Source organism: Homo sapiens, chromosome 17 (assembly GCF_000001405.40).
Source record: "Homo sapiens chromosome 17, GRCh38.p14 Primary Assembly".
Lineage (NCBI taxonomy): Eukaryota > Metazoa > Chordata > Mammalia > Primates > Hominidae > Homo > Homo sapiens.
In genome coordinates this window covers 49,607,705-49,623,142 of record NC_000017.11, presented here as the reverse complement: position 1 = coordinate 49,623,142, position 15,438 = coordinate 49,607,705, and the positions used below count along the sequence as shown (strand labels likewise).

The window sequence follows — 15,438 nt, the reverse complement described above, 5'->3', positions numbered from 1 at the left end:
CAGCTACTCGGGAGGCTTAGGCAGGAGAATCACTTGAACCCAGGAAAGGCGGAGGTTGCGGTGAGCCAAGATCGCACCACTGCACTCCCGTCTGGGCAACAAGAGCGAAACTATCAGGAAAAAAAAAAAAAATTTTAGGACCTCAGTGGTAAGGAGCCACTCAAACAATGTGGAGACAAAATTTCCAGCCTCTATCAGGTCAAACAATAGTTAGGATCGTATCTTAATAATCTAATAAAGTTTTCTTGCTTCTTGGATCTGACCAGGGTGAAGAGGGAACAGAAATCTTTGCCCCCTGACTTTGGAAATCTCGTTTAACCTTCAAACTGGCGATGTCAAGGGTTCCAAGTCCTCCACCTCCGGCAGAAATGTCGAGTGGCCCCGTAGCTGAGAGTTGGTGCTACACACAGGTAAGTTGAAGTTTTCAGCCTGTGAATCTTGCATCTGGGGAGGATTTGGTGGACGAAAGGAGTAGGATTGCTTTTCTACATTGGGCTTCTTGCTTTCTCTGGAACATAACTGCCAAAGAGCAGATAGATAAGATACTTGTTAGCCTCAGGTTCCTTAGTTTTCCATGTGGAATCTAAATTCCCTAGGCTAGTGTTTTTCAGTGGAGGTTGAAAGGGGGAATCTTTGAAACTAGATCTGCTTACATTGCCCTTGATGAAAGTGTGTTCTGAGTTTCCTCTGTTGGGGAAACAAGTTTGAGATGTGCAACCCCAGGCAGTGACATCAACATTTTAATAACAGAGACCCATTTTAAGTACGGTTTTATCATATGCTTTCCCAGCCCTGTCCATGGTGGTGGTGGGTTTTTTGTTTCTGTTTTTCCTGTATGTTTCTCTCACTTTCCATCCAGTGTTCTCAGCAGCTGAAAAAAGTTATAAAAGCTATTGGTCAGTGTGAGATTTCTTAAAATGTGGATGAGGAACATAAGGTGAGAAAAACCTGAAAACTGCTATCTTCCTATCAGGATCATGCAGAGGGAGGGAGGGGAAATGATAATCTGCCCTTCATCCTGTTTTTTCAGGTTGTCCACTTCCTATTTAATTGCTTCCTGTTTTTCTATCAACAGATCAAGGTAGTGAAATTCTCCTACATGTGGACCATCAATAACTTTAGCTTTTGCCGGGAGGAAATGGGTGAAGTCATTAAAAGTTCTACATTTTCATCAGGAGCAAATGATAAACTGAAATGGTGAGGAAGAATACGTCTAACTGTAAAAATTTTTCTGAAGTTGTCTGTTTTGTTTGGTTTTATGGGACACTGACAAGAATGTAATTTCCATGAAGGCCAGGACTTTTGTTTTGTTCTTACTGTATTTCCCAGTGCCTAGCACAGTGCCTGGCACATAATAGGTACTCACTAAATGTTTGTTGAACTAATTCAATGAGTATATCAGAAATCAGCAAACTCAAGCTATAGGGTAATGTAAATAAATAAAGAAAGCCAGTGTTATAAATGATATCCATAAATGGAATGACTGGTGACTGCTTGGCAAACTAGTGAGTGTTCTTCTAAAAGAGGTGCTGGCTACTCAGCTCCAGCTAACTATAGCTATGCATGAGTAAGGGCTGACCCTTGCCAGATTTTCTGATTTTTCAAGAAAAGCAAGAAATCTAGATTTTAACATAAAAATCTCTTTACTTTTAAATTGCCTGCTTTTAAACAAGAAAGGGGATTTATTTGCTTATGTAACTGTATTGACAGGGTATAGGATGGGTTTGAAGGTAGCTTGATCCAGCAAGCCAGTAGTTAGAGTAAGAACACCATCTCTGCCCTGGCCCTGTTCTCCACGCTCTTGGACATCTCAGGTCTGGCTTCTCTTGTGCTTAAGGGATAACTGGCAGTACCAATGGGTATAATCTACTACATGCTAGCAAAAGTCTTTGAGCTTTCTCTGAACTGTGTGGCCAGGAATATGTCGTACATGCACCAATTGTTTTACGTTTGCATTCCCTGAACCAATCCCTGGAGCAGGGAAAATATGATCCAGGAGTGAGGATCAGTCTCATTCAGACTATGTGTCATCTTGCCTGAGGAGCAGGCAGTTGAGGATACAACCATATACCCACTGCAAAGACCAAAACGCAAGTCTCTGAACCACCAGTTTTGACCTCTGATAACCCACCAAAAGTTATTTTTTCATTCATTTAGTATTTTTTGGCTATATATTGTGCATTTTACTACTAAGTGTTGAGAGAGATGTTTATTCTTAGACATTGTATTTAAATCCTCATCATTAGCAAGGTGTATAGTAATGTATGTAGCATATGCACTCCCTAGAGAGACACTGGATTGGGCCACCTGTTTGAGAGAGGTGCAATAATACAGATAAGGCTTAAGGATACATATGACCTGTGTATTGCATGTGGTAGAAGCAGTGCCTGAAACCCATGCATTTGACTAATGACATTTACAACTTAGTTGAACCTATTCTGTCTGAATTTTGTTTTGATCTCTCCGTAACAGATTGGCATCTCTAACACTATTTAGAAGTCTGGCCTGGAATTCTGTGCTGCGTAATGATAATTTACTTTTGTCTGTGCTTCCTTCATATTGCCTCTTTTATTTTAGTCTTAGAATATTGTTGCCAGATTGGTAAAATATCTATAAAAGATTATGTATATTATTATCTATAAAAGATTATTCACACTTTTTTTTTTTTTTTTTTTGAGACAGAGTCTCACTCTATCGCCCAGGCTGGAGTGCAGTGGCACGATCTCGGCTCACTGCAACCTCTGCCTCCTGGGTTAAAGTGATTCTCCTGCCTCAGCCTCCAGAGAAGCAGGGATTACAGGTGCCCACTAGCACGCCTGGTATTTTTAGTAGAGACAGGATTACACCATGTTGGTCAGGCCATTCTCGAACTTAAGTGATCTGCCTGCCTTGGCCTCCCAAAGTGCTGGGATTACAGGCATAAGCCACCGTGCCTGGTCCACACATTTCTTTTTTTTTTCTTTTTCTTTTTTGAGATGGAGTTTCGTTCTTGTTACCCAGGCTGGAGCGTAGTGGTGTGATCTCAGCTCACTGCAACCTCTGCCTCCCAGGTTCAAGCGATTCTCCTGCCTCAGCCTCCTGAGTAGCTGGGATTACAGGCGCCTGCCACCACGCCCAACTAGTTTTTTTCTTTATTTTTTATTTTTAGTAGAGACGGGGTTTCACCACGTTGGCCAGGCTGGCCTCGAAGTCCTGACCTCAAGTGATGCGCCCGCTTTGGCCTCCCAAAGTGCTGAGATTACAGGGGTGAGCCACCGCACCCAGCCTGTTGTTTACTTTTTAAAAGGTGACCCATTTTGCTTTACGAAAGTGGTTCCCAGCCAGGTGTGGTTGCTTATTCCTGTAATCCCAGCACTCTGGGAGGCTGAGGCAGACGGATCGCTTGAGCTCAAGCATTCAAGACCAGCCTGGGCAATATGGCGAAACCCCATCTCTACAAAAATTAGCTGGCCATGGTGGTGCACATCTGTAGTCCCCGCTACTCGGGAGGCTGGGGTGGGAGGATCACCTGAGCCCAGGGAGATCGAGGTTGCAGTAAGCCATGATCATACCACTGCACTCCAGCCTGGACGATAGAGTAAGACCATGTCTCAAAAAAAAAGAGAAAAAAGTTGTTCCCAACTAGTCATTCTACTGAATTATATTCTTCTATGGGGCCTGCATTTGTTTTTTAAACATCTCCCTCTCTTGAGTCTGATTTCCAGTTCTATCAAAATGGATGCTTTTGACATTTTTTTTTTCTATCTGTTTTGGACAGGTGTTTGCGAGTAAACCCCAAAGGGTTAGATGAAGAAAGCAAAGATTACCTGTCACTTTACCTGTTACTGGTCAGCTGTCCAAAGAGTGAAGTTCGGGCAAAATTCAAATTCTCCATCCTGAATGCCAAGGGAGAAGAAACCAAAGCTATGGGTAAATGTTCTCCTCTTTGTTCAACTCTTAAGTTTCACATCCAGAAGTTTCATACACTGACAAGTTGTGGCTTTGATCTGGTTTTTGCGTAACCTTAAATATGACTTTTTTTTTCCCCACCCCAGAGAGTCAACGGGCATATAGGTTTGTGCAAGGCAAAGACTGGGGATTCAAGAAATTCATCCGTAGAGATTTTCTTTTGGATGAGGCCAACGGGCTTCTCCCTGATGACAAGCTTACCCTCTTCTGCGAGGTGAGTCCTTGTATTCTGCTGAGACTAGCAGTTCCCAGATCTGATGAGTATTGGTAGACTTAATTATATTGTATCAGGGATGTAGAGTAAGAAAAAGCCCCAAGTGGAGTAGTGCTGCACAAATGTTATTTATGTGACTGATTGAGCTACCTGATGATTTCAAGGTTGTTGGGCATCTCAGCTTTCCACTTGTTACTGTTCTTAAAAACAAAGGTTGTATGTATGCTACCTTGGTATGTGTCAGTTTTAAGTTGCTTGGGTCAGGAGTTTTCACTGTGGGATTTTTTTCAGATAGCATTTGAAAGGACTGTCACATCAAGCTAAATATGTGTATCTGTTGTTTATACTTTCTGGCTCCTTAAGTGTGAGGGCCATGTGTGTTTGCAGATTACTTACCTTTTCTGCTCTTTGAACTAGATTCTTATCAAGAGTTGAGGCCTATGGTTTGTCTTGCTGGAGTAATTGTGAAATAAGAAGGTGAGAACCATTTTTTTTCTAGGGTGAAGGCTATGTAAAGCTCTCTAACTCACAGTTAGCTCACAGAGTTATCTGTAGTCAGTTAGGAAAGTCCTCTCACCAGTGACCTAAGAGCTTTTCCCAGGTTTACAGGAGAAGCCTTGAAATAAAATTCCCAAACCAAGAATGAGTTGGAAAGTGGTTTCTTTAATGAGTATATACTGATTAGTCATTTCATGCTGTTATGAATACATTTAGAAATACTGACAAGCTCACAGTGTAATAAATGAATAAAATCTCCAGTCAACTGGGGCATTAGTGTTCCCTGCACATAGGTTGAGGAACCACTTCCTGAGCAGCACCGCTTGATAATAATAAACAGTGTATCATCATGGGGGATGGTACAGTTGTTCCCCAATTGCCAACTCGCTCGGTCAAATAATAGGCTCACACTGTGAGTTAATGACAGTTTCAAAGGCATATCACCACCTGAGTAGCAGGGAATGGAGTCCCTTAGGAATCTTGCCCTTTTGCAGAAAAGGCCTAGCGGTCGGTAGCAGGCTTATGTATTGCTTTCTTTCTTTTTTTTTTTTTTTTTTTTGAGACGGAGTCTTGCTCTGTCACCCAGGCTAGAGTGCAGTGGCGCAACCTTGGCTCACTGCAACCTCTGCCTCCCAGATTCAAGTGATTCTCCTGCCTTAGCCTCCCAAGTAGCTGGGATTATAGGTGTATGCCACCAGGCCTGGCTAATTCTTGTATTTTTAGTAGGGATGGGGTTTTACCATGTTGGCCAGGCTGGTCTCGAACTCCTGACCTCAAGTGATCCGCCTGCCTCAGCCTGCCAAAGTGTTGGGATTACAGATGTGAGCCACCACGCCCAGCCAGCCTTCTGTATTGCAACAGAGTAGTTGCAAATGATTAGAAAACTTTGGAGGCAGTTTCTTATAATACCACACTAAATATGTAAAATATAGTTTGCATAATTTGGTATCCCCTCTCCTTTTTAATTACCAAGTAAAAGAAGGAAATACTAGAGTGATAGCATCTATAATAAATACATAAAATGTGGCAGTTCTTTTATGTCTGATAAACTTGGAGTGTGAATTCTGTGTAAATCTAACGTCACAGATTATACTCAGTTGCCTGAATGAAGAAATGAGAATTTAGTTGGTTTTACATGAGGTTAGATGTTATGTAAACAGATCACAGTTTGAATCTTCACCTATCTTACAGACTTGCATTTCAGAAAAACTTAAAAATAGTAGAAAATTCTAGTTTCTATTGGAAATGAAAGCCAATCTTTAAACTGTTCTCTGAAGAAAATCTCCCCTAAATACTGCATCTGGCAGTGTTAGGCAATACCATAACCTTTACTGCAGCTTTTTTGAGTCCACAGTGGGTCCAGCCTTTTCTCATATGCTTCCCCCTCTCTTCCCAATCCATTCCAGCTGCTCCAACCCCTGTCTTCACAGTCTTGATTTGGAAGCCAGTTGGCCTGCCCTCACTTGGCAGTCTCTTATCCTGTGGTTAAATCCGAGGCCAAGTTCCAGCTCGCTCGCTCTCTCCCTTCACTTCCCCATATGAAATTCTCTTAGGAGAAATCCTGTGGTTAAGTTTAGATGTGCCTTGACTTAGATGGGAAGTGAGATGACACTTTAGAAACGAGGAGATGTTGAACAGGGTAACGTCTGCTGGGTTCTGCTGATGCCATCGGTTTCTTACCATCGAACCAGGTGTGCCATCTGTTCCTCTCACACTTCTCTGTTGGCCACAGGTGCTGAGTGTTGCTTCTCATACTTGGGCTTATGCCTAGTGAGACTTGTTTCTGTTCCAAGGCTCTCTGTGGACTTAGTAGCATTCAGCGTTGCAAGACGGTTGCGTGGGGGTGTGTATTGGATGTGTGGGTTTTAAGGATGTCTGCAGCTCATCTAAGTTCTTAGCACTTTTCATAGCTAGATCATTTTTGGTGCACATTTTATCCCTTTGACCTGTTGTTTCCCTTCTATCAGTGGAATATTTATAAACACATTTGTTTTAATTCATATTTACATTTTGTTTGTTATTGGTTTGATTAGTATTTTCATATTGTTTAGAGGCTTTTATGAAGTTGATGTCCAGATAGAAATCTAGGTTCTAGTACCCCAGTGCCCCATTCGTCACTCAGCCTTTGACTGAGGCACTTCTCATTCTCATCCTGATACAATAAATACAGTTGTTTCATAGGGATTCTGGTGCTCCCAGAGGCCACAAGAGGGACTCCTATGGTGGAAGACCGAGAAGCACCCTTTTATGTTTGGCCTTTATTTCAGTGGTATTCCTGTTGTTGAATGTTTAAATGAAATTAGATTGTGGACTCTGAAAATGATGAATGGGTGGTCTTGTTTATAATGTGCCCTACATTGAGTTCACTTTCAGACAAAATCAGGCGTGTTCAGGGTGATATGACTGTAGACACTGAGATCACTTTCAGTTCTCAGTGATGTTTTACCTATTAGGAAATGTGGCAGTTCTTCCAAGTTGTTATTGCTTAGTTAACTTATTTGGAAGCATTTCCAAAGCATTTCCTGAATTGTCCCTTATTACAATCCTTTGAGCTAGGTTTAGTTCTGTTTTCTTCATTTCATGTTACAAGGGGAGAGAAGCAGTGCCCAGGGAGTCAGGAAATTTTTCCTAACATTGTGCAGCAAACTAGTGCGAGGGTCATGTCAGCTCCCTATTTTCTATCTCTAGTCCGCTGCACTACACTAAGTGGAGCTGAATGCCATTCACCCAAGGAAGCACAAACTCGGGTCCCAAGTTTTCTTGACAGAGCATTTACTTTGGTAATGAAAGAGAGAGACATAAGAGTCAGGAGTGGTGGCCCACCCCTGTGGTTCCCAGCTACTCCTGAGGCTGATGCAAGAGGATCACTTGAGCCCAGGAGATCGAGGTTGTGGTGTGCTATGATCGTGCTTGTGAGTAGCCATTGCACTCCTACCTGGACAACATAATTAGTCCCTGTCTGTTAAAAAATAAATAAATAAATAAATAAATAGAGACATGAAGGCATGTTTAAATTCCATTTTAAATTTTCTCTTTAATAATTTGGTCCACAGAAAATCTTCATGAAATAGTTCAGCTTCTATTGACCCTTTTCTCCAATTATTTATATTGAAAACAAATAGCCATTAGCAATAAAGAAGCATTGTATTCCAACTTTACCATATATGCCTTTGACAGGTAGATAATCCCAGAACCTCTTTGTCATGTTGTAACTAAAGATGAAATATGAAATAACATAAATGTGAAATATCCAGACACTAATTAACTTTATTTTAATTTTTTAAGAGATGGGATCTTGATCTTGCCCAGGCTGGAGTGCAGTTGCTTAATCATAGCTCACTATAACCTGTAATCCCAGCACTTTCGGAGGCCAAGGTAGGAGGATCATTCAAGCCCAGAAGTTCGAGACCAGCCTGGGCAACATAGTGAGACCCTGTCTCTACAAAAAAATTAAAAATTAGCCAGGTATGATGGCACGTGCCTGTAGTCCTAGCTACTTGGGAGGGTGAAGCAGGAGGATTGCTTAAGCCCAGGAGTTGGAGGCTACAGTGAGCTGTGATCACACCGCTACCACTGCACTCCAGCCTGGGCAACAGAGGGAGACCCTGTCTCTAAATTTTTTAAACTAATAGTTTTATACACACACACACACACACACACACACACACACACACACACACTTCATAGCATGGGAATAGGTATTTTTGCTAAATTTTAAATAAATGAATCTATTCATTTTTACCTTTTTATCCTTTAATTATTGGATTATTTGAATATATTATTTGTACTGGATGAAAATACCAATATTTGCTTGTTCTTGACCTACACAAATGGTGATTCAATAGGTAACATCATTGTAGGTTATAAAGCATGAGAATATACTAAACCCACCACTCAACCTAAAAATATGACCAATAACTTGGAACTAACCTGTAATGCTTCTCCCCAATCCCTAAGATTTGTTTCCCCACTCAGAGGATGATAAATAGCTATTTTGAATTTTATGTTATCATGCACTTGTTTATTATTTGTATGTCTGAATAATATATTGTTTAGGTTACTTGTTTTGGAGCTTTATAAAAATGGTGTCAGACTGTATGTAGTCATCTAAGATTTGCTTTTTCACATTATGTTTCTAAAATTTATATAACTATACTTCATCCATATTTAGTGCTGTATATAATAGTCTTGTGTGAATGTATAATTTATTCATTCTTTTGTTGATGGACATTTAGGTTGTTGCTAATCTTTTGCTAGTAGAAATAGTGCTCCTGTTGTAAATAATTTGTAGGCAGTGTCTGTTTTTCCTAGATTGTTTTAATTATATAGAAGTTAAAAAATGTATTTCCCTGGGTTTTACTTTATGTATAGATGAAATGTACAAGAATTGGCACAATCTTTAGTTTTTTATGAAATTTGTTTTTTTAAGAAAAGGATTGACTTTAAAAGTGAGACCCTTTTACAACTTGAAGTTAAGGAGATTATACAGCCTTCCTGAGACATTTTCATGCAGTCATTTATAAGATGACATAAATGTCACAGTCACGTCATCTTCACAGCTGCAGTTCTGAATGAGTCTCCCCAGTCAACTTTATAGGCATTAAAAAAAATCTTTAGTTTTTCTCAGAATGGTCTCATTTTAGCATCATCATTTGCAGAGGAAAACAATCCCTTTCTAAGTTAAAAGTTTGGGCTCTGAAGACTCATTTGTGAATGCCATTTAGAATTTATTTTTAATTAAGCGTATTTAATGTTGGTGAGAGGTGCCAGACATTCAGAGCTCTGGAGACTCCAGGCATCTATATATCTACAGAACAAGCCTGGCTCAGACAATAAAGGTACATTCTCTTTTCTGCTGTGTTCCTGTCTGTGTCCAGAGAGAGGAATTGCCCCAGTGAGAGATGTCACAGCCTTTGGGCCCCACTCATTACCACATGTGCATCTAACCAGCAGAAGGCCCACTGGTAACTATGGTTTGATTATGTGAAATTCAGTTTAGCTCTTCTTGCCAATTCATTTCACCCAGTCTACTAAATTGCCATCAAGTGTTAATGACTTTGGGCTCCTGTCAACCTGGTTTAATTCAAGCTAGGAACCCAGTGCCAAAAGCATTCTCCATTCCCTTCATTGGCCATCCCAGGAGATTCCTGCCTTTCCCTGTGAGAAAGTTGGATTTAATTGGTCTTTTCCTTTTTTTTTTTTTTTTTTAAATTAGTATTTTAGAGCTATAACTGAGAACAGGCAACTTCTACTTTCAGTGTTAATGTTATGTCAAAGAAGTGAGGGTATTAATATGAGAAAGTGGCAGAAGCAAATTAGAGGTCTTATAAAGGACAAGAGAGAATCTCTATGGGATGGTTTGTACTGTGTCCTAGGCTATTAAAATAATGTTATAATCTGGCTCTGATAAATGTGATACTAATGCCAAGTATATTCATAATTGATTAACTTGGCTGTTTCATTGCCCAAGACCATAACAGCTAGTTTTAAACAAATGAATAAATTTCTTGACCTGATAGTAAATATCTCACTCCTGCACAGAAGGAACTACAGGTCATTAACTTTGCCTCTGGGCTTATGACTGCGTTTAAGGGATGACTTGCATCTTGAAGGTTAAAAGAAATCTGGGTCATTAAGGATGTTCCTAAGCTGTCTTTCTCATCTTACTGTTAGGAACAGCAAGAGTGGGGAGCTAATTCTCAAGGTTTGTGAGTTCTGCTTTGAATTTAACTTTTCTAACAGAATGTGATGTAGGAGATGAAGCATAACAACAATTGTTAGGCAGATGACTGATCTGCAGTGTCCTATCTACAGTTGGGCAACTGACATTTATTTTATGATGTTGTATGATTTATAAATCCTTGTATTTGGTACCCTAACAGATTTATCTGAGTTTCACTGACTCACCTAGAAGTTAACTTGGTTTTTTACCTAGGCTGAACTGGTTAAAACATGCTTCTGCTGAAGCCATAGTGGGAAGTTGGGATTCCTTTATAAACCTATTGTCATCATTATCTTCCAAAGCTATAAGTGCATGTGTAGCTACAGCCAAGCATCTTGTATGTCATTATCACAACTGACTAAAGGTATAAAAGTGTGGGATACTCACCCAGTTTTCACTACTAGAAAGATCTTCCAAGTCTGGTCCTTACTGACAGTGGGTCAATAATGTCATGTTCATTAAACTAATATTTTTGAAGAAGTGCCAGTTATTTACCAGGCTCTGTAGAAGATGCGTTTTATGTGCATGTTCTCGACCTAACTAAAATAACGTCTTTTAGGCTTCAGTTATTAGATTTGGCGAGGTGCAGTGGCTCATGCCTATAATCTTAGCACTTTGGGAGGCCAAGGATGGAGGATCACTTTGAGCCCAGGAGTTCAACATCATCCTGGGCAACATAGTGAGACCTTGTCTCTGTAAACAAATAAAAAATTAGTCAGATGTAGTGGCATGCGCCTGTAGTCCCAGCTACTCCAGAGGCTAGAGTAGAAGGATCACTTGAGCCTGGGAGGTCAACGCTGCAGTGAGCCATGATCATGCTACTGGACTCCATCCTGGGTGACATAGTGAGACTCTGTCTCAAAAAAAAAAAAAAGTGATCAGATTCTTGTCTCTAGAGTTTAATTTAAATGGTAGTATTTATAGGAGTTCTTTGTATTGAACTTAAGGCAGAATAAGGTAAATACTTGAGGTTTAACATTTGTTTCTGTTAGTTTTGTCTCTCTGGCACCTTTGCCCAGGTTTGTAGTCCAAGGGAGGTGAAGCTTATTAGAAACTGGGGGAAAAAGAGATTTGTGGGGCTCTCTTCCTATTGTCCTGAGATGGTATAGAATAAGTCTGATTGTGACAGAAAAGGAGTTACTTGATCCGGGGCTAAAGCCTTGATTTGTGGAGGTGGTTTCAAGATAATATGATTAATATTAGTATCTGAATGTACTACAGCAGTTAGGTAAAAGTCGTCTATCTGCTGGCAAAAAAATTCCTGGTAACAAAAGCTTGGCTTGTGTTTCCTTGTCTTTCACAGGTGAGTGTTGTGCAAGATTCTGTCAACATTTCTGGCCAGAATACCATGAACATGGTAAAGGTTCCTGAGTGCCGGCTGGCAGATGAGTTAGGAGGACTGTGGGAGAATTCCCGGTTCACAGACTGCTGCTTGTGTGTTGCCGGCCAGGAATTCCAGGCTCACAAGGCTATCTTAGCAGGTTGGTATTTATTCATGAGGAATTTTATAGTTTTGGTGAAATAAGGAAAAACAAGTGATTGCATAATCACCTTTTGAACAACTTCAACTTTTTGAACTCAACTACAAAACAAACTGCAGCTAAATATATCTTTGTATTCCGGTAACAATGCTCAGAACCAAAAAAGCTGCTCTCTAAAATGACATTTCTGTTTTTCCTCTCTGTAGTGGACCTAGGCCATCATTTTCAAGGCATGGATGATGATGTACAAAGGTATTGAATGCCTTTGCCCCTAGAGAGTAGATGTCAGAGCACCAGTTAAGAGCAGGTATCAACCCCTAGATAAGGGTTTAGGATGTAATGGAGAGGATTCTATACTCAGGACTAAATGCCATCTAGCTAGTCCTCAGCCCTGGAGGGGTTAGCCCTCTTTTCAATTTAAACATACTAGAAGAATGAAACTCTTGCCCCTGACATGGAGGATCAGGTCTTGCTTTAATAGGCCCATGGTTTTCAAGACCAGGGAGATTGACACCAAGGAGGAACTGATGAGGAAGGACTGACTTCACCGCCCAGGGAAGGGTAACAATCACCGTATACTTCTCTTAAGACCATAAGACCTAACAGGAAATTGTGTGAACCTTCAAGTAACACACTTCTTACTAAGACCCTCCGCTCCGTCATTCTAAAGTACACACCTGGTAAAACCTCAGACTGCCTCAGTCTAAACATTTTCCTGTTCCCTCTCACAACTGGCTGTTACTGTGTAATACTCAAGGAAGTCACGGGCGCGGTGGCTCATGCCTGTCATCCCAGCACTTTGGGAGGCTGAGGCGGGTGGATCACCTGAAGTCAGGAGTTCGAGACCAGCCTGGTCAACATGGTGAAACCCCATGTCTACTAAAAATACAAAAATTAGCTGGGCATCGTGGCATGCGCCTGTAATACCAGCTGCTCCAGAGGCTGAGACAGGAGAATCGCTTGAACCCTGGAGGCGGAGGTTGCAGTGAGCCGAGATCATGCCACTGCACTCCAGCCTGGGCAACAGAGCAAGACTCTGTCTCGGGGGAAAAAAAAACAAAACTCAAGGAAGTCTATAACTCTTTGGTTAGTGTCTCCACACTTAGCTAGGCCCTCAACACTGCCAATAGTTTTTCTACAGATGTTTAGGCAACTCCCTTTCTTAACGATAGCTGTCTCAAACCTTAACCACTCTTTAACTCCTTCCAAACTCCTAAAAGATTACCTTGCCTACTTCCTCCAAGAGAAAAGGAGGCCCTTTTGTAGGAACTTCCTCAACTCTTGCTTCTTACCTCACCTGCATTCTCAGTGGAGGTGTTCTTCCTCGTGGACAAAGCAGACTTTTTTTCTACCTCTGCTCTGTTTTATATCCCATCTTGCCTTCTCAGAAACCTTACTCTACCGGTTATACCCTTGCTATCTATCTAGTATCTTCACTATCTCTCTGTTATTGCCTCTTCACCTTCAGCCTGTACAGGCTCCAAGCTTCTCCCTCTAGTTATTCTCTCTCTCTTTTCCCCAGAACTGAGTTTCTTGAGTTAGCATATTCACTTTCTACTTCCTTTCCTCCCACTTATCCTCAGTTCACCTCCATGCTATGAAAGCAGTTTTTCAAAATTACATGATCTACTGGTTCCTAAATTTGAAGGACTTTAGTTCATATACTAGGACTCCTCTCTCCTGATTCTCTGGTTGCTTCTGATGTGTGGTCTCCTTACTTCTTCCTCACCAATCCCTTTATACATTGGTGAGCCCTGAGGATCTGCTTCAGTTCCGTTTTCATTCCACTTCTTCTCCCTGAGTGATTTCATTTATTCCCGTTGCATCAGCTGCTGCCTATTTACCGAGGACCCTCAAGACCTGGCTGCTTTGGACCCTTCCTTCTTTATGAAAAGCACCGGGCCTTTAGTCTTTAATTTCTGAAATATATTTATTTAGTTCTCTATGGTCTGTAACCCTTCTGAAATAAGAACAATGAGAATTGATATCCTTTCGGTAGAAATTAAAATACTGAAGTTCAGAGGGTTAAGTGATTTGCCCAAGAATATGTGGTTAGAAAATGGCAGAGCTAGGCCGGGTGCAGTGGCTCATGCCTATAATCCCAGCACTTTGGGAGGCATAGGTGTGCAGATGACTTGAGGTCAGGAGTTCGACACCAGCCTGGCCAACATGGTAAAACCCCATCTCTACTAAAAATACAAAAATTAGCCAGGCGTGGTGGTGGGTACCTGTAATTCCAGCTACTTGGGAGGCTGAGGCAGGAGAATTGCTTGAACTCAGGAGGCAGACGTTGCAATGAGCCAAGATCATGCCACTGCACTCCACTCTAGCCTAGGCAACAGAGCAAGACTTTTGTCTCAGAAAGAAAAAAAAAAAAATGGCAGAGCTAAAATTAGTGCTTTCTGACATAAACTATAGGCCAAAATTTCCAGTTCTCTGTTAGCTCAAAACCTTTCTACTATATATTTTGTCCATTCTTTCACTCTTAGGTAATCGTTGGATCTCAGCTTTCACCAGAACCCCTGATTTATTTGACAACATGAACAAATTTGAGTTCTTAGCCATTCTATTACTTTTCGTGGTTGAGATTATTATTTTTCATGGTGTTCATTGGACTAGAATGAGCATGAGTTGGAGCACTGTTTCTCAACCTTCCAACCTTCATTATCCCTGCCTCTAAGGAGAAAAACTAAATTTAAATTCTCCCTGATGAGAGAAATAAAATACTAAGGAAGAAGATTTTATCAGGTAGGGTTGTGCTTTAAAGGGACACAAATCATTATAATATCTAAAGTTTCTTTCCCCCCCCACCTCTTTGGGGCAATATCATCTCTGTTAGGAATGCATAGCTTAGAAAAACAGACAGTTTGCCATAGGTGAGCATGCGCTTCATCTGGTTAGTGGATGCCATTGAGCCCAGTTCTTGACCTTCTTCCTGTGCAGTCCCTGGAGGTGCAGAAAGTATGGTGTCAGTTCCAACAAAAACATAGGTATTAGAACACCCTGCTTGATCATAAGGGACCTTCCATTTGAACCCCAAATCTATACAGAGAACATAGCATTATCATCCAACATAGATAAGTAATTTTCTTGAAATGTGAATGGTTGGAGTAGAGCCGATAAGTTATTTTGGAAGTAGTGGTTTCTTATTTTCCTTTATGTATTATAATTAGTTACTTATTGTTATAATATATGAAGAAAGGAATTTTGTAATTCTGATGTAAATTGAGGTAGAGACCTTTCCTATAGCAGTAGGATAGGTTAGAAAATGATCTCTCCCTCATGACTGGCAACAACCAAGAGATTTCACTGTGATAGCCTTATCTGCTTGTTTCTCTTTGACTTTGTAGCTCGTTCTCCGGTTTTTAGTGCCATGTTTGAACATGAAATGGAGGAGAGCAAAAAGGTATGTAACAAGATGAAGACATGTCTGTTTAGCCAGGTATCTAGAGTCAGATGATTTCCCACTTTAGCTGCAGATTCATTTTCCTAATTACTTTTTTCTTACTAAAATGGAGTATGAGTCCCTAAACTCCTTCTGAGAGCAGAGAGAAGTGGTGTAGAAGTATTATGGG

The 15,438-nt window shown here is 40.8% G+C and overlaps 1 protein-coding gene and 1 long non-coding RNA gene across 11 annotated transcripts in view, besides 1 other annotated feature; both read left to right on the top strand.

Annotated features, from left to right (window-relative positions):
• Nucleotides 1–15,438, top strand: part of SPOP (speckle type BTB/POZ protein) — a 79,280-nt gene that overhangs the window by 55,021 nt on the left and 8,821 nt on the right. For all 10 annotated transcript variants that reach the window (NM_001007229.1, NM_001007227.1, NM_001007230.1 and 7 more), the window contains 6 exons: nt 267–410; nt 1,076–1,197; nt 3,758–3,909; nt 4,035–4,162; nt 11,686–11,863; nt 15,214–15,269. In NM_001007229.1, coding sequence (NP_001007230.1) covers nt 333–410; nt 1,076–1,197; nt 3,758–3,909; nt 4,035–4,162; nt 11,686–11,863; nt 15,214–15,269 — 714 coding nt within the window. In that variant the 5' untranslated portion in view covers nt 267–332. The remainder of the gene's footprint in view (nt 1–266; nt 411–1,075; nt 1,198–3,757; nt 3,910–4,034; nt 4,163–11,685; nt 11,864–15,213; nt 15,270–15,438) is intronic.
• Nucleotides 4,169–9,891, top strand: LOC107984999 (uncharacterized). Its single transcript, XR_001752929.1, has 2 exons — nt 4,169–4,639; nt 9,538–9,891. It is a non-coding gene; the product is annotated as an uncharacterized LOC107984999 (long non-coding RNA).
• Nucleotides 4,826–5,340: an enhancer, noted in NCBI's record as "NANOG hESC enhancer chr17:47695165-47695679 (GRCh37/hg19 assembly coordinates)". NCBI's record gives its function as "activates a minimal SCP1, AML or CMV promoter by ChIP-STARR-seq in naive H9 embryonic stem cells {active_cell/tissue: H9 hESC(naive)}" and the evidence as "EXISTENCE:reporter gene assay evidence [ECO:0000049][PMID:30033119]".